The 19,755-nt window shown below is 43.3% G+C and overlaps 1 protein-coding gene and 1 pseudogene across 6 annotated transcripts in view; one reads left to right on the plus strand and one right to left on the minus strand.

Annotated features, from left to right (window-relative positions):
* NBPF8 (NBPF member 8) overlaps nt 1-4,150 on the plus strand; it is a 54,650-nt gene extending 50,500 nt beyond the window's left edge. For 3 of the 4 annotated variants that reach the window (NR_102404.3, NR_102405.3, NM_001037501.5), the window contains one exon: nt 452-4,150. Coding sequence is in view for 2 of the 4 variants with exons in the window: in NM_001037501.5 (NP_001032590.2) it covers nt 452-695 (244 nt within the window). In the remaining 2 variants the exon portion in view is untranslated. The remainder of the gene's footprint in view (nt 1-451) is intronic. The other variant, XM_047429836.1, reaches the window with a different exon arrangement.
* The window catches only part of PDE4DIPP2 (PDE4DIP pseudogene 2), a 195,809-nt pseudogene continuing 180,155 nt past the window's right edge, over nt 4,102-19,755 (minus strand). For both annotated transcript variants that reach the window (NR_144517.1, NR_144516.1), the window contains one exon: nt 4,102-5,507. The product of NR_144517.1 is annotated as a PDE4DIP pseudogene 2, transcript variant 2 (transcript). The remainder of the gene's footprint in view (nt 5,508-19,755) is intronic.

Raw genomic sequence — 19,755 nt, forward strand, 5'->3', positions numbered from 1 at the left:
TTTCCATTTCTTCCTCCCCTTATCATTTCCTAACGTACCATAGGTTGACCATACTTCAAAAGCTGTACTCTCATGGCCACTGCATCGAATTTTGAGCATATTTTATGGAAAACTATTGAGCTCACTCTTTTCATGATCACAGTTTGCTGTGTGTCATGAGGGCACTAACTCAGAGTGTCCTTTTACTCCCTTACCAGTATGTCAACTGGCCAATTCACTAGGTCACTTTCTCTCTGTCTCTGTCTCTGTCTCTCTCTCTCTGTCTTTCTCTTTCATTGTTTTCTACCTGGCCCTGTTCTATCCCAACATAAAGGCAATAATTTGTTACCTCATTAATGGATCTGTCCTTTTTCTTTTCTAACCACTTCCTTATGTTACTTCTGAAATCTAGTGGGGCTCTGTGGTGTCTGATTTTCCCTGGCTGCTTCTTTAGTTTTGTCTCCTTTTCCAGGCTCAACAGCGTGCTGATGGAAGTGGAAGAGCCTGAAGTCTTACAGGACTCACTGGATAGATGTTATTCGACTCCATCAATGTACTGTGAACTACGTGACTCATTCCAGCACTACAGAAGTGTGTTTTACTCATTTGAGGAACAGCACATCAGCTTTGCCCTTGACATGGACAATAGGTTCTTTACTTTGACGGTGACAAGTCTCTATCTGGTCTTCCAGATGGGAGTCATATTCCCACAATAAGCAGCCCTTACTAAGCCGAGAGGTGTCATTCCTGCAGGCAGGACCTATAGGCGCCTGAAGATTTGAATGAAACTATAGTTCCATTTGGAAGCCCAGACATAGGATGGGTCAGTGGGCATGGCTCTATTCCTATTCTCAGAGCATGCCAGTGGCAACCTGTGCTCAGTCTGAAGACAATGGACCCACGTTAGGTGTGACACGTTCACATAACTGTGCAGCACATGCCGGGAGTGATCAGTCGGACATTTTAATTTGAACCACGTATCTCTGGGTAGCTACAAAATTCCTCAGGGATTTCATTTTGCAGGCATGTCTCTGAGCTTCTATACCTGCTCAAGGTCATTGTCATCTTTGTGTTTAGCTCATCCAAAGGTGTTACCCTGGTTTCAATGAACCTAACCTCATTCTTTGTGTCTTCAGTGTTGGCTTGTTTTAGCTGATCCATCTGTAACACAGGAGGGATCCTTGGCTGAGGATTGTATTTCAGAACCACCAACTGCTCTTGACAATTGTTAACCCGCTAGGCTCCTTTGGTTAGAGAAGCCACAGTCCTTCAGCCTCCAATTGGTGTCAGTACTTAGGAAGACCACAGCTAGATGGACAAACAGCATTGGGAGGCCTTAGCCCTGCTCCTCTCAATTCCATCCTGTAGAGAACAGGAGTCAGGAGCCGCTGGCAGGAGACAGCATGTCACCCAGGACTCTGCCGGTGCAGAATATGAGCAATGCCATGTTCTTGCAGAAAACGCTTAACCTGAGTTTCATAGGAGGTAATCACCAGACAACTGCAGAATGTAGAACACTGAGCAGGACAACTGACCTGTCTCCTTCACATAGTCCATATCACCACAAATCACACAACAAAAAGGAGAAGAGATATTTTCGGTTGAAAAAAAGTAAAAAGATAATGTAGCTGCATTTCTTTAGTTATTTTGAACCCCAAATATTTCCTCATCTTTTTGTTGTTGTCATGGATGGTGGTGACATGGACTTGTTTATAGAGGACAGGTCAGCTGTCTGGCTCAATGATCTACATTCTGAAGTTGTCTGAAAATGTCTTCATGATTAAATTCAGCCTAAACGTTTTGCCGGGAACACTGCAGAGACAATGCTGTGAGTTTCCAACCTCAGCCCATCTGCGGGCAGAGAAGGTCTAGTTTGTCCATCACCATTATGATATCAGGACTGGTTACTTGGTTAAGGAGGGGTCTAGGAGATCTGTCCCTTTTAGAGACACCTTACTTATAATGAAGTACTTGGGAAAGCAGTTTTCAAGAGTATAAATATCCTGTATTCTAATGATCATCCTCTAAACATTTTATCATTTATTAATCCTCCCTGCCTGTGTCTATTATTATATTCATATCTCTACACTGCAAATTTTGGGTCTCAATTTTTACTGTGCCTTTGTTTTTACTAGTGTCTGCTGTTGCAAAAAGAAGAAAACATTCTCTGCCTGAGTTTTAATTTTTGTCCAAAGTTAATTTTAATCTATACAATTAAAACCTTTTGCCTATCACTCTGGACTTTTGGATTGTTTTTCACATTCAGTGTTATAATATTTGATTATGCTGATTGGTTTTGGTGGGTACTGATGCGAATTAATAAAAACATTTCATTTCCATGTTTATTTTGTAATCTCTTCCACATTGTAGGCTATGTTTACCATACGTAGCAGAATGTGTTTACATTTCTTGGTTCTAGTCATTTGTATTCTTCGTGAGTGTGAGAGTGTGTGTGTGCGTGTGTGTGTCTGTGTGTGCCTTTGGCATTTAGGAAGGGTTGTATAGCTCATGTTAAATATTGCACTAAAAATGTTTTTGATGGTTTTCCTCCCTTTGAACTAGACACACTTCTAATATTTGGTTTATAGTTTTAAATTATAACTTTCAGCATCAAATATTTCCATACAACAGTCAATTACATGATGTGTTTTCTTTTTCCTACCTCCTTTACCTGCCACTTCTCATAATAGTATTTGAACCTAAACATATACCGGTGACATTCTGTGATTATCATCTTGCCCCTACCTTGGTTTTTGGTTTAGATCCACAATGAAATATATTAACGCTCATGAGCTATTCAAAAGTGAATGTCACAGTCATCACTTGCTGAGTGGTACTCATCCTTAACAGAGTCCTCATGAGGGAATCAGGTCTCGCTGAGTTTAGCATGTTTAATAATCTTTTCTCACGGTCTCGATACATGGATCGCATTACTAGATATAAGGTGCTTGCCCAAAATGATTTTTCTGGAGTTTTTAGGAGATATTGTCCTCCTTGGGGGACATACATGGTGTATGTTCTCATTGTGGGATTCGATTTTGTTCTACCAGGACCTCTAATTTCTGCCAGTTACTTCACTCATTTGTTCTCTTCACCATGAGTCTCCAGAGGATACTTCCATGGTCCGTGCCTCCCCATCTCCCAGTAATTCTGCATTTCCAAGATTGGCACCTCTGGTCCTCTGCACGGTGAAGCCCCTTCCTTTCAATTCCCCAGTAGCCAGTGCTCTAATCCACCAGGTCTCAGGCATGATCTATGTTTCTCCACACTCGCTTTCTGAGGATAGTTTTGCCTGGGTTCTATCATGAACAGGCCCTCCCTGCTGTCCTGGCCTCTATTTGCATAGTGTTTCCTGCTCCCTCTGCCGTCGTGTGGCTCCCAGACCTGGCTAAAGAAAATCACCTGAGGGCCACAGTGTTCCCTAGCCCTGGTGTTTAGGGGCAGGATTATGGGTGAGATTTTTGAGTCTCTAAGTTGACCCCTACGGCTCTGAAGTGTATGTTGAGAAATTCAGCTGTTATCATCCTAGGTGGACTTGCTCCCTCCTATCCTCCTACTTCAAATGCAGAACTTCAATCGTTTACAAAAGAAGACTGAATCGTATAATAGAACACACCCTTATTCATTGGCTGGCTTCACCAATCTCGTGGCTGAACTTGTAAAAATACAATCTTAGCCACATACCTATGAAATGTATATGTGTGTGTATATATATACATGAATTTGCTTCTGAGATTATGGAGGCTGAAATTCCCAAGATGGAAGGAAAGCTGGATACCCAGGAAAGCATTTGTTTCCCATTAGGCCTCTTAATTCTCTCCTGGCCCTTGATTGATTGCATGAGGCCCACCCCTATTAAGGAGGGCAATCTGCTTCACTTAGTCTGCCCATCCCAATGTTAATCGTATCTGAAAGACTCTCTGGAACACAACCAGAATCATGTTTGGCCAAATGTCCTGGCACCCTGGTGCTCGGTCACAGTGACAAGTACAAGTAACTATCACACATGCCCTTTGTCATATTGGTGATTTCCACTGTTTTTCTCCCAAACTGCAGCTTATATTTGTTCTCTTAGTACTGTTGAGCAAAAACTTAATTTTTATAAAGTCGAATTTATCAATGTTTTCTTTAATGGTTTGTGTTTATTGATAATAAAGAACACTTTACCTAACTCTGTGTCATGAAGATTTTGTCTTATATTTTCTGCTATACTTTTTCTAGTTTTATAGTTTATATTTAGTTGCATAATCCATTTTGAGTTAGTTTTTGAGTTAGTATTGAGGTTCAGGTGAATTTTTTTCCTTTGGGGATAAAAAAAAAATTGTGTAAAAAAAAGTTGTTTCTACACAATTTGTTGACAAGAGAATGCCTTCTCCACTGAATCATATTTGCACCTTTGTCAATCCATTGGGTGGTTGAGACTGGTGAGAGGACTGTCCTGGTGTTTGGACAGAGAGACAGGGCATGAAGTAGGGTGGTTCTTATGGGAAAAATTAAGGAAGACACATTTTTCCATGAGGAATAGGAAATCCCCAAGCACAATTGGGGGTACCCTCTACCAGCATGTTGTAGCACACTCATCTCTGCTCTACCTGTCCTGCTGCAAAAGCTTGGGTGTGCATAGACACTGAGGTTGAGTGGTGTCTTTGGGCATTTTGAGCATTGACACCAAAGTTCCAGCATCAAATCTTAGAATATCAAGCAGCCAGATGGATCACCTGAGGTCAGGAGTTCACGACCAGCCTGACTAACATGGTGAAACCCCATATCTACTAAATACAAAAAAATTAGCCAGGCATGATTGTGCATGCCTGTAATCTGAGCTACTTGGGAGGCTGAGACAGGAGAATCGCTTGTGTACCTGGGAGGTGGAGGTTGCAGTGAGCTGAGATCACACCATTGCACTCCAGCCTGGGCAATGAGAGCAAAACTCTATCCCCCCGCAAAAAAAAAAAAAATAAAAGAATATGAAGCAGCCAAAGAAGCAGGAAAACATGACACATAATGAAGAATCTAATAATCTAGTTGAAATTGACAGACATGTTGGACATAGAAGAAAAGGACATTAGAGCAGTTAGTATAATTGTATTTTAATTAAATGGGGAGGTTGAAGATTTTTTAAATATCAAATTCTGTAGATAAAAAGTATGATTTACAGTCTGAAATGGAAGAAGGCAGTGGATTAAACATTGCAGAAGAGAAGATTATTGAACTAGAAGGAATAGAAGTTGAAACTAACATAAATGAAACACACAGTAACAAATGACTTGAAAACATAAAAAGACCATTGGCATCAAAACTTTAAACCCCCCAGTATAGGGCTAAATGGAATCCCTGAAGGGCGTGTAGTGGAGAAGAGAGACAAAGATATTTAAAACATACTGGATGAAAGATTTAGAAGCTCCATGGAAACCATAAACTTCAAATATTACAGAAATATGATTATTCTAAGAACAAGAAACATGAAGAAAACTTCACCAAGGAACGCCTTAATCAAATCCATCAAAACCAGTGATAAAAAGGAAATCCTAAAAGGAATAAAAAGGGAAAGAACATGTTACATACAGAGCACTAAATATAAGGATGGCATAAGATTTCTCATACAAACAAGAAGTTTGCAATAAAGAACTTAAAAAAAGAAAAACTGTCACCTACAATTCTACACCTGGCCAAATTATCTTTTAAAAATAAACATGAGAAAAAGTATTTTTGAACAGAAAACAAAATGATCTCAATTTGCAGATGTTGTGATCCTATACATAGAAAATCCCAAATAATACCTACAGATGCAAACACACATACATGCATACAGAGGCCAGACACACACACACACACACACACACACACACACTCACATACACACACTACTAGAGTTAATAAGTGAATTCAGCAAACTTTCAGCAAACAATCAGTTGTGTTAGCAATGAACAATCTGAGAAGAAAATTGACACAATGATTTCATTTATAATAGCACTTGTAAGAATAATATGCCTGAGAATAAATTTGTTCAAGAAGGTGCCGTACTTGTACACAGACAACTACAGAACATTGCTCGAGGAGATTCAGGAAGACCTAAATCAATGGACAGACATCTTGTGTCCATGGGTTGGAAGTTGTAACATGGTTAAGATAAAAATACAACTCAAAGCAACCCACAGATTCAATACAATCCTATCAAGAAGTGGCCTTTTTTACAGGAATGCCTAAGAAGAACTTCATATTCCTAAAAAATAGTGTGTCCCCCCAAAACAAAAGCAATCTTGAAATGCAAGAAGAAACATTTTCTATTCCAAAGGTCTTTAACTGCTCTAAGCAGTACTTGGTAGTCTTCAATATATAGGCTTTCATATCTCTTTTTTTCTTCTTTTGTTTCTGCACAGGATCTCACTCTTTCACCCAGGCTGGAGTACAGTGGCACAATCACAGCTCACTGCAGCATGGAATTCTCAGGCCTATGACATCCTAGGGCCTCATCCACTGATTCCTGGGACTACAGGCTCACACCACCAAACCCGGATAATTTTTCTGATTTTCAGTAGAGATGAGGGCTCACTATGTTGCCTAGGCTAGTTTCAAGCTTCTGAGATCAAGCAACCCTCCTGCCACAGCCTTCCAAAGTGCTGGGATTCGAAGCCAAGCCTGGCTGGCTTTCATGTCTTTTCTATGTAGTTTATGTTTCTGGATGCCATTGAGAGTCTGGCTGGCTTTCACATATTTGCTATGTCGTTTATATTTCTTGATGTTATTGTAAATGTTTATTAAAGGAATCTTTTAAAAACTTTGTTTTGGCCAGGTGCGGTGGTCCACGCCTGTAATCCTAGCACTTTGGGAGGCCGAGGTGGGTGGATCATGAGGTCAGAAGATCGAGACCATCCTGGCTAACATGGTGAAACCCCATTCCTACTAAAAATACAAAAAAAAAAATTAGCCTGGCGTGATGGCGGGCGCCTGTAGTCCCAGGTACTTGGAAGGCTGAGGCAGGAGAATGGCGTGAACCTGGGAGGTGGAGCTTGCAGTGAGCCAAGATGGTGCCACTGCACTCCAGCCTGGGAGACAGAGTGAGACTCCGTCTCAAAAAAAAAAAATTGTATTAAAATTATATATTTAAGGAATTACATATATATTTATATATATAAAATACATATCCTTAAATTATATATATTTAAGGAATACAATCTGAGGACTACATATACATATACATAATGAACTAATGCCTACTAGGTGAGGGGCTGCCTTGTGAGCAAACCCAAGGTCCCTGGCTTATGAAGCCTTTGTCTAGAAGGAGGGAGGGATCAGCAAGGTGGGCACACAGCAGGTTCTGTCTTTGGTGTGGGCATCTGCCCACTCGGGTCTCTGGCAATACTAACCAGGCTTCACGATGGGTGAGGTGAGCTAGGAATGGGAAAGTGGATGACTTCAGATCCAGAGACTGCAGTTGTCACCTGGGGACCTGGCGTAGGCGTGGAGGAGTCTCCCACTGACTTGGCCCTGGGTCAATGCCCAAACATGCACAAGGACGGGACTCTCGGCCTCAATGCTTTAGGGGCCCCCAGTCTTCTAAAGAGGGTTTGTGGTGGGGAAGAATGTTCAACAAAACAGAAGAGTTATGGGTACTCTAGCTTGGCAACGGAGAATACTTCCTTGTGCTACTAAATGGCAATATTTGACAATTACGGATGACACAATTGAGCAACAGCTTTCACTGTTTAACAAGCAGTGTCTCTGGAACACTGGGTTAGTGCTGTCGGATGTTGACTGAAAAGTCAGTGGTTTGAGCCCATCCAGTCATATTAATGTTTCTAGCTGATGTGACCTTCCATCTGAAGAGTCTCTTCCTTGGACCAAATATCTCTTAAAGCTTCTCTTCTTCTTGTCTCTTGTCTATTTTCTAAGGTGCCTCTTTGTTGCTTGGGGCAAAAAAAGTCCATTTTAAATCCACACCCAACAAACATCTACCCTTATGTATCCTGGTTTTTAGGGTTTTGAGTTTGTTGTTTGTTTTCTCAGCTTCTCATATTTGGAATACTGGAAATTCCTAAAGTGGAAAATGACAGAACGTGAATCACAGCTATGGTGAAGCCACAGGCTCTGGATGAAAAACCTAATCTGCCAGGGTTTGAAGTTAAACACATGAATCTTCTGTGCCTCCATTTCTATCTGTCCAATGGGCTAAATCAGAACACTTAGGTTGTCCAGTGTTTAAATGAGCAGTGCAGGAAAAGCCTGGAGCCAATGCCTGTCATGTAGTAATTGGTCAACACGCATGAGCTCCTATCAGCGCCATGGTCTCCAGCATTTCCATCAGGCTTTGATCTTTGAAATGTCCTTCTTGATATGAATGGATCATTCCTCAAACATTCTCTAACTGATGGCCATGAAATTGCTCCAATGTGTATTATTACAAATACAACTGCAGGGACCAGACTGACACATGTATCTGTCGTGCATCGCTTGTCTATTTCTCTGTAGACACCTGGAGATGGAATTGTCAGACCAAAGTATTTATACATTTTTGATTTTGCTAATTTCTGTCTAAATTACTGTGAAAAGAAGATATAACATGTCATACTTTTAACATTTTTTGAGAATTCTCTTTTTCTCCATCTTCTGGCCAAAACTGGGAAGTACTTGCCTACCATTTCCTCTGAACTCACTTTTGCCAACATTTGTGTAGTCATACAGTGAGATCACATTGTATGCAAGACATCAAACTCAAATCCTTAAATGAAAGCGATTAACATGACTGTGTAAAAATTTATCTTCAAAATACAATGAATACATATATGCACATATTTATATGGGAAAGGAATTATTTGGATACTTTATCAAAGTTATATATACTTGAAAATTTGTTTAGTAAAATAGCAGTCCCCTTGTGTACTCCCAGAGTTTCATCACATAGAAGCAATTATTTCGTTATTTATCTCCTTATGTCTAAATAGATATTATTACTTTTTGATTTTCAAGTTTAGGCACTACCTCTCCTTCACATACTTGCTCATCACCACCACCCCCAAACACGCCTCTCACCACCTTACCCTCCAACACGTTTGTGTCCTCATTTGCTGGGTCAATTGCTACATTGTTATAACTTGTATATTTTATTCAGAGTTCAGTCACATTGGATATACATAGCAGGAATGAGAGGCCAGTATCTTCAGGGACTCTCTCTCAAGTAGATAAGCTTCAAAGATTTTTGCAATCTTTGGTCACCCTCCCCATCGTTTTCCTATTCCAGGTAAGTACTGGATCTGATGGGCCCAGCTCAGGTCAGGCACTCTCTCCTTGAGCAGGGGAGAGCGGGACATCTTCATGTGTACTACCAGGAAGACACTGTTCAAAGAGGGACAGGTAGTTCTAAGACAGAAAAGTCTGTCTGGGGTACAGGTAGGCAAAACAAGGACACACACACAAAAATTAGTCTGTTCTGTGAGGGGAGCATGCAGTAGAGGGTGGATTCAGAGTGGGAGGGGAGAGTTTTGAGAGATATGGGCCATGGATATCACTCTGTGGGCCGGAGCCACACAAGACGGTTGGGGTCTTTCAGGGGCAGGGAGCTGAGGAGGATCTGCCCTCCCCAACCTGGGAGACTGGTGAGGGGACTGTCCTGGTCACCAGACAGAAATGGGGTCTGGGCCAGGGCGGTTCTGGTGGGAAAGAAAGAACAGGACATCTCCTTAAGGAAAGGTCCTGAGTCAGGTCTTAGTAGGGAGAGAGGTTACCTTGGGCATTGGCAGCTGAAGATGCTTGGCCAGATGAGGGCACTGAAATCCATGTCCTATAAACTTGTAGTTCTAGTAAAAGAATGACAGCAGTAAAGGGTCTTTAGGAAGAGGAGGTGGAAGACCTGTTTTGGGTTGGGGGCTCCAAGAAGAATGTCTGCCTTGCTGTGCAGAAGCCTGCTACACAACCTCCCTGGTCCCCTTCCTTAGTCTCCTGGCCAGACCCCTGTGAGCCCTGGAAGTGCACAATCAGCTCAGCCAAGGCATCTCCAGCTGGGACTCATCCCTGGGCATTTCTGTGGCCTTGGGTGCCCTGGCCTCCTCCAGGCCCTGTCTTGCAGGCAATCATCCTGCAAGGGAAGGGGGAAAGGAGGCTACCTGACAGTTAACTCTGAGTGGCTTCACAAGGTCCTGACTTAGCTCCTAGTCACTTGCAAACCTATATACCCCCATTTCATCCCCCAAACGATGAAAAGAAACTTTGCAGGACTCATGCCAGACAAATAGGGTGGGACCATTCTGTAGAGCCAAGTTCTCAGGACATCAATAAGAGATGGAAACCACCTGCTGGAAGGTGCCACAGTGGGAACCTTGGGGTCAGGGAGCAGTCACTGAACTGTCAGGGTGAATCCTGGCTCCTGGCCCTCACACACCCTTTCTCCCCCTCCCTCCTTCTCTCCTCCCTCCTGTCTGCTCTTTCCCCTCTCTCCCCTGCATCCCTCAGGTACCTTCCATGGGCCCTGACCCCTCCTTTTCAGAGGCTCCAAAGTGAGCCCTCAAAACACTTGGTAACCTTGGACATTTCCAAAACTGGAGAGACTTGACCACAGCATTTTTATGAGCTAGGAAGGTCCTCCAGAGCTCTTGCCTAAATTTTTCTGCTGATGAGAAGAGAACAAGAGTTTCCATCTGATCTGGTCCTAAGGCAACTTCTCCTTGGAGCAGAGTCTGGGCAGGAAGAAGGGGGTTGCCCAGGGCCCTGGACTTGCCCCTCCCAGCTGCTCTGCTCCTCTCCCCTTCACTGCGGGAGGCTGGCCAGGGATCAGGAACCTCTGTTCTCCACAGATGCTGGGATCTCAAGTTCAAATCTAAATATTGGCTGATTTAGGAGGCTAAGGGAGGCAATTGGCTGGAGGGAGGTGTCAGGATTTGGGACAAGAGCAGCATCTAGTTGCCGTCCACAGAGACCCCAAGGACAGGAATCCACTGGTAGCTGGTCAGAGGGGATCCCATGAAAACAAAATCAAACGCGCGCTTTAGTACTGGACCCAAGATCAGGAGATGAAAAACTGCACTGTCCTAAGGGATGAAGGAATTAGGGAATCCCAGAAGTAAAGCTTTTCATATAGGTCATTTCTTCCAAAGAGACATAGGGCAATGGCCCAATGACGTGAACAAAAGAAAACTCGGGGTCTAGGATTGAGGGGAGGCAGCCTTTTTAGTGGAGACCTGTGACCTGGAGGCCCAGGGTCACCCTGAGAGGGGAGGGGTCTTGCTGGTCGCTGGGTCCGGGACTCCAATTGCACACAGCCAGTGGCATGGAGGGTCTGTGACCACGATTGGGCAATTTCCCCCATTCTGCTTATGGAGCAATAGAGAAGAACCTCACTGGAATTATACAGAAAGGTCCCAGTGAGACTTGAACTCTGATCACTGTATTCAGAGTCCAAAGTGCTCACCATTACACCATGGAACCTCACACTAGCTTATAACTGGAGGTAACTGAGTTCATACTTAGCAGCCATAGTTCCCACACACCTATGTTAAGGCATTTCTTCTGATCCCTCAAGCAACACCAAGGAAGGTGGACCTGCGAGAGAGGAGTCATCCTCTTTCTCTCTGCCCTCTCCTTTGATCAACTTTTATCATTTCATTTGCACCTCAGAAAATGAGTCAAAATCCAGCTTGGGCTTAGGGCCAGAGAAGAGCCCTTGAGGCCTCCCTCATGGAAAACATACTCTCTCAGTTTACCAGAGTTTCCTGTACCAAGGGGAAATTTCCGCAAACCGTAGTGCTATATTCTTTTTGCCTTCCCTCTTTTCCCTTTGCCCAGGGAGGCCAGATGATTGTGAGAACAGGACTTGGGACTTCCTGGGTGCCTTTCCCCCTTCCTCCATGTGATAAATAATGGCTGACACCAAGCAAGTGGGATTGGGAGGCAGGGAATCTTTCATTTCCTTCTTCATATACTTCTATGCATTTGTTTGGTTGGTTTTGGCAAGATTTTCTCACCAGAAATGGAGATTTGTTGGATTTAAAATAAAAAGTAATCAGCCATGTTTTACATTTCTATAAAACACTCAAACCAGGCCATACTCCCCTGCTGTGCCTCAAAATCAACCATAAACTGTCGAGGTCAGGAGACAGGGCCCTGACACTTAAGCACAGTGTGTTTCCTCAGAATTGGCCAAGTTGATGCCACTCCAATTTCTCAATATACCACAACCCATTAATTGCGGTTTTTAAAAGTGTACATGTATTTTTACCAAAACCCCAGGGCTTCAGTGTTCTCAGCACACAGAAAGACAATCATTGAGACATTGAGTATTGCTGAGGAAGAAGGCTTTAATTGGGTGCTGCAGCTGAGTAGACGGGAGATGAGTCTCAAATCTGTCTCTCTGATTGACTCAAGTTAGGGGTTTATATAGCACAGAAGAAACGTAACTGTGTGTGGGAAGAGAGGAACTAGGGAGGGGTGAGGAAGCACTCGTGATGAGTGAGGGGACTGGCATCTCATTGTCTGGATGCTGTGATTGGCTGAGTTTCAGGTCTCTGATGCTTTTTGAGAGGACTGAGAGTCCTTTCCTGAGGAAGGAACTCAGATAAAACAAATATAATTTTCTTTTATAGAATGGCTTGACCTCAGGAGTTTGAAACCAGTCTGGGCAATATGGTGAAACCCTGTCTCTACCAAAATACAAAAAAAAAAAGAGGGTTGCTTCCAAGATGGCTGAATAGGAACAGCTCCGGTCTACAGCTTCCAGTGAGATAGACGCAGAACACAGGTGATTTCTGCATTTCCAACTGAGGTACCTGGTTCATCTCACTGGGACTCGTTGAACAGTGGGTGCAGCCCATAGAGGATGAGCCAAAGCAGGGTGGGGTGTCACCTCACCTGGGAAGCGCAAGGGGTTGGGGGATTTCTTTTTCCTAGCCAAGGGAAGCTGTGAGTGACTGCACCTGGAGGAGCAGTACACTCCTGCTCAAATACTGTGCTTTTTTCCACTGTCTTTGCAACTGACAGACCAGGAGATTCCCTCTTGTGCCTGCCTCGGCAAGTCCCATGCCCACGGAGCCTTGCTTGCTGCTAGCACAGCAGTCTGAGATCAACCTGCGACATTGGAGCATGGCAGGGAGAGGGGGTTCTGCCACTGCTGAGGCTCGAGTACTTGGTTCCATGGTCACAGTGTAAACAAAGTGGTAGGGAAGCTCGAACTGGGCAGGGCCCACTGCAGCTCAGCAAGGCCTGCTGCCTCTAGATTCCACCTCTGGGGGCAGAGCATATCTGAATAACAGGCAGCAGACAGCTTCTGCAGACTTAAATGTCCCTGCCTGACAGCCCTAAAGGCAGCAGTAGTTCTCCCAGCATGGCATTTGAGCTCTGATAATGGACAGACAGCCTCCTCAAGTGGGTCTCTGACCACCGTGTAGCCTAACTGGGAGACACCTCCCAGTAGGGGCCGACAGACACCTCATACAAGTGGGTGCCCCGCTGGGACAAAGCTTCCAGAGGAAGGATCAGGCAGCAATATTTGCTATTCTGCAGCCTCTGCTGGTGACACCCAGGCAAACAGGGTCTGGAGTGGACCTCCAGCAAACTCCAACAGACCTGCAGCTGAGGGACCTGCCTGGTTAGAAGGATTAACAAACAGAAAGGAATAGCATCAACATCAACAAAAAGACATCCACACTAAAACCCCATCTGTAGGTCACCAACATCAAAGACCAAAGTAGTACATAAAACCACAAAGATGGGGAGAAACCAGAGCAGAAAGGCTGAAAATTCCAAAAACCAGAGCGCCTCTTCTCCTCCAAAGGAACACAAGTCCTCACCAGCAAGGGAACAAAACTGGATGGAGAATTAGTTTGATGAGGTGACAGAAGCAGGCTTCAGAAGGTCGGTAATAACAAACTTCTCCGGGCTAAAGGAGCATGTTCTAACCCATCACAAGGAAGCTGAAAACCTTGAAAAAAGGTTAGATGAATGGCTAACTAGAATAAACAGTGTAGAGAAGAGCTTAAGTGACCTGAAGGAGCTGAAAACCACAGTATGAGAACCTCATGAAGCATAAACAAGATTCAATAGCCAATTCAATCAAGCGGAATAAAGGATATCAGTGATTGAAGATCAAATTAATGAAATAAAGTGAGAAGACAAGATTAGAGAAAAAAGAGTAAAAAGAAATGAACAAAGACTCCAATAAATATGGGACTATGTAAAAAGACCAAATCTACATTTGATAGCTGTACCTGAAAGTGACAGAGAGAATGGAACCAAGTTAGAAAACACTCTTCACGATATTATTCAGGAGAACTTCCCCATCCTAGCAAGGAAGGCCAACATTCAAATTCAAGAAATACAGAGAACACCACAAAGATACTCATTGAGAAGAGCAACCCCAAGACACATAATTGTCAGATTCACCAAGGTTGAAATGAAGGAAAAAATATTAAGGGCAGCCAGAGAGAAAGGTCGGGTTACCCACAAAGGGAAGCCCATCAGACTGAGAGCGGACCTCTCAGCAGAAACACTACAAGCCAGAAGAGAGTGGGGACCAATATTCAACATTCTTAAAGAAAAGAATTTTCAATCCAGAATTTCATATCCAGCCAAACGAAGCTTCATAAGTGAAGGAGAAACAAAATCTGTTACAGACAAGCAAATGCTGAGAGACTTTGTCACTACCAGACCTGCCTTACAAGAGCTCCTGAAGGAAGCACTAAACATGGAAAGGAACAACCAGTACCAGCCACTGCAAAAACATGCCAAATTGTAAAGACCATCTATGCTATGAAGAAACTGCATCTATTAATAGGTAAAATAAGGCCGGGCGCAGTGGCTCACGCCTGTAATCCCAGAACTTTGGGAGGCTGAGGCGGGCGGATCACAAGGTCAGGAGATTGAGACCACCCTGGCTAACACTGTGAAACCCCATCTCTACTAAAAATACAAAAACAGAACTAGCCGGGCATGGTGGTGGGTGCCTGTAGTCCCAGCTATTCAAGAGGCTGAGGCAGGAGAATGGTGTGAACCTGGAAGGTGGAGCTTGCAGTGAGCCGAGATCACACCACTGCACTCCAGCCTGGGTGACAGAGCGAGACTCCATCTCAAAAAAAAAAAAAAAAAAAAAAGGTGGGAAATAACCAGCTAGTATCACAATGACAAGATCAAATTCACACATAACAATATTAACCTGAAACATAAATGGGATAAATTCCCCAATTAAAAAACACAGACTGGCAAATTGGATAAAGAGTCAAAACCCAGGGGCTGTTCCAAGATGGCTAAATAGGAACAGCTCCAGTCTACAGCTCCCAGCATGAGTGATGCGGAAGATGGGTGATTTCTGCATTTCCAATTGAGGTACCGGGTTCTTCTCACTGGGGCTTGTCAGACAGTGGGTGCAGGACAGTGGGTGCAGCTCACTGAGCATGAGCTGAAGCAGGGCAAGGCATCGCCTCACCCAGGAAGTGCCAAGGGTCAGGGAATTCCCTTTCATAGCCAAGCAAAGCTGTGGCAGATGGCACCTGGAAAATTGGGTCACTCCCATGCTAATACAGCACTTTTACAATGTTCTTAACAAACGGCACACTAGGAGATTATATCCCATGCCTGGCTCAGAGGGTCACACACCCACTGAGCCTCACTCCTTGCTAGCACAGCAGTCTGAGATCGAACTGCAAGGTGGCAGTGAGGCTTGGGGAGGGGTGCCCGCCATTGCTGAGGCTTGAGTAGGAAAAAAAAGCTGCAGGGAAGTTCAAACTGGGTGGAGCCCACTGCAGCTCAAGGAGGCCTGCCTGCCTCCGTAGACTCCACCTCTGGGGGCAGGGCATAGCCAAACAAAAGGCAGCAGAAACCTCTGCAGACTTAAATGTCCCTGTCTGACAGCTTTGAAGAGAGTAGTGGCTCTCCCAGCATAGAGTTTGAGATCTGAGAACGGACAGACTGCCTCCTCAAGTGGGTCCCTGACTCCCAAGTAGCCTATCTGGGAGGCATCCCCCAGTAGGGGCAGACTGACACCTCACACGGCCGGGTACCCCTCTGAGACAAAACCTCCAGAGGAACGATCAGACAGCAACATTTGCTGTTCAGCAATATTTGCTGTTCTGCAGCCTCCACTGCTGATACCCAGGCAAACAGGGTCTGGATTGGACCTCCAGCAAACTCCAACAGACCTGCAGCTGAGGGTCCTGACTGTTAAAAGGAAAACTAACAGACAGAAAGGACACGCACACCAAAACCCCATCTGTATGTCACTATCATCAAAGACTACAGGTAGATCAAACCACAAAGATGGGGGAAAAAAAGAACAGAAAAACTGAAAATTCTAAAAATCAGAGTGCCTCTCCTCCTCCAAAGGAATGCAGCTCCGCACCAGCAATGGAACAAAGCTGGACAGAGAATGACTTTGATGAGTTGAGAGAAGGCGGCTTCAGAAGATCAAACTACTCCGAACTAAAGGAGGAAGTTCGAACCCATTGCAAAGAAGTTAAAAACCTTGAAAAAAGATTAGATGAACGACTAACTAGAATAACCAATGCAGATAAGTCCTTAAAGGACCAGGTGGAGCTGAAAACCATGGCATGAGAGCTACATGATAAATGCACAAGCTTCAGTGGCCCATTCGATCAACTGGAAGAAAGGGTATTGGTGATTCAAGATCAAATGAATGAAATGAAGTGAGAAGAGAAGTTTAGAGAAAAAAGAATAAAAAGAAATGAACAAAGCCTCCAAGAAATATGGGACTATGTGAAAAGACCAAATCTATGTCTAATTGGTGTACCTGAAAGTGACAGGGAGAATGGAACCAAGTTGGAAAACACTCTGCAGGATATTATCCAGGAGAACTTCCCCAACCTAGCAAGGCAGGCCAACATTCAAATTCAGGAAATACAGAGAACGCCACAAAGATACTCCTCGAGAAGAGCAACTCCAAGACACATAATTGTCAGATTCACCAAAGTTGAAATGAAGGAAAAAATGTTAAGGGCAGCCAGAGAGAAAGGTCGGGATACCCACAAAGGGAAGCCCATCAGACTAACAGGTGATCTCTTGGCAGAAACTCTACAAGCCAGGAGGGAGTGGGGGCTAATATTCGACATTCTTAAAGAAAAGAATTTTCAACCCAGAATTTCATATCCAGCCAAATGAAGCTTCATAAGTGAAGGAGAAATAAAATACTTTACAGACAAGCAAATGCTGAGAGATTTTGTCACCACCAGGCCTGCCCTAAAAGAGCTCCTGAAGGAAGCACTAAATATGGAAAGGAAAAACTAGTACCAGCCACTGCAAAAACATGCCAAATTGTAAAGACCATCGATGCTAGGAAGAAACTGCATCAACTAATGAACAAAATAACCAGCTAACATCATAATGACAGGATCAAATTCACACATAACAATATTAACCTTAAATGTAAATGGGCTAAATGCTCCAATTAAAAGACACAGACTGGCATATTGGATAAAGAGTCAAGACCCATCAGTGTGCTGCATTCAGGAAAACCATCTCACATGCAGAGACACACACAGGCCCAAAATAAAGGGATGGAGGAAGATCTACCAAGCAAATGGAAAACAAAAAAAGGCAGGGGTTGCAATCCTAGTCTCTGAAAAAACAGACTTTAAACCAACAAAGATCAAAAGAGACAAAGAAGGCCACTATATAATGGTAAAGGGAACAATTCAACAAGAAGAGCTAACTATCCTAAATATATATGGACCCAATACAGGAGCACCCAGATTCATAATGCAAGTCCTTAGAGACCTACAAAGAGGCTTAGACTCCCACACAATAATAATGGGAGACTTTAACACCCCACTGTCAACATTAGACAGATCAACAAGACAGAAAGTTAACAAGGATATCCAGGAATTGAATTCAGCTCTGTACCAAGTGGACCTAATAGACATCTACAGAACTCTCCACCCCAAGTCAACAGAATATACATTCTTCTCAGCACCGCACTGCACCTGTTCCAAAATTGACCACATAGTTGGAAGAAAAGCACTCCTCAGAAAATGTAAAAGAACAGAAATTATAACAAACTGTCTGTCAGACTACAGTGCAATCAAACTAGAACTCAGGATTAAGAAACTCACTCAAAACCACTCAACTACATGGAAACTGAACAACCTGCTCCTGAATGACTACTGGGTAAATAATGAAATGAAGGCAGAAATAAAGAGGTTCTTTGGAATCCACGGGAACAAAGACACAACAAATCAGAATCTCTGGGACACATTTAAAGTAGTGTGTAGAGGGAAATTTATAGCAATAAATGCCCACAAGAGAAAGCACGAAAGATCTAAAATCGACACCCTAACATCACCATTAAAAGAAGTAGAGAAGCAAGAGAAAACACATTCAAAAGCTAGCAGAAAGCAAGAAATAACTAAGATCAGAGCAGAGCTGAAGGATATAGAGACACAAAAATCCCTTCAAAAAATCAATGAATCCAGGAGCTGGTTTTTTGAAAAGATCAACAAAATTTACAGACTGCCAGCAAGACTAATAAAGAAGAAAAGAGAGCAGAATCACATAGACGCAATAAAAAATGATAAAGGGGATAACACCACTGATCCCACAGAAATACAAACTACCTTCAGAGAATACTATAAACACCTCTCTGCAAATAAACAAGAAAATCTAGAAGAAATGGATAAATTCCTTGACACATACACCCTCGCAAGACTAAACCAGGAAGAAGCTGAATCTCTGAATAGACCAATAACAGGCTCTGAAATTCGGGCAATAATTAATAGCTTACCAACCAAAAAAAGTCCAGGACCAGATGGATTCACAGCCGAATTCTATCAGAGGTACAAGGAGGAGCTGATATCATTCCTTCTGAAACTATTCCAATCAATAGAAAAAGAGAGAATCCTCCCTAACTCATTTTATGAGGCCAGCATCATCCTGATACCAAAGCCTGGCAGAGACAAAACAAAAAAGGAGAATTTTAGACCAATATCCCTGATGAACATTGATGCAAAAATCCTCAATAAAATACTGGCAAACCGAATCCAGCAACACATCAAAAAGCTTATCCACCATGATCAAGTGGGCTTCATCCCTGGGATGCAAGGCTGGTTCAACATACACAAATCAATAAACGTAATCCAGCATATAAACAGAACCAATGACAAAAACCACGAGTATTTCAATGGAGGCCGAAAAGGCCTTCGACAAAATTCAACAGCCCTTCATGCTAAAAACTCTCAATAAATTAGGTATTGATGGGACGTATCTAAAAATAATGAGAGCTATTTATGACAAACCCACAGCCAATATCATACTGAATGGGCAAAAACTGGAAGCATTCCCTTTGAAAACTGGCACAAGACAGGGATGCCCTCTCCCACCACTCCTATTCAACATAGTGTTGGAAGTTCTGGCCAGGGCAATCAGGCAGGAGAAAGAAATAGAGAGTCTTTTCCTCAATTAGGAAAAGAGGAAGTCAAATTGTCCCTGTTTGCAGATGACATGATTGTTTATCTAGAACCCCCCATCACCTCAGCCCAAAATCTCCTTAAGCTGATAAGCAACTTCAGCAAAGTCTCAGGATACAAAATCAATGTGCAAAAATCACAAGCATTCTTATACACCAATAACAGACAAACAGAGAGCCAAATCATGAGTGAACTCCCATTCACAATTGCTTCAAACAGAATAAAATACCTGGGAATCCAACTTACAAGGGATGTGAAGGACCTCTTCAAGGAGGACTACAAACCACTGTTCATGGAAATAAAAGAGGACACAAACAAATGGAAGAACATTCCATGCTCATGGAGAGGAATAAACAATATCGTGAAAATGGCCATACTGCCC

Source organism: Homo sapiens, chromosome 1 (assembly GCF_000001405.40).
Source record: "Homo sapiens chromosome 1, GRCh38.p14 Primary Assembly".
Taxonomy (NCBI): Eukaryota; Metazoa; Chordata; class Mammalia; order Primates; family Hominidae; genus Homo; species Homo sapiens.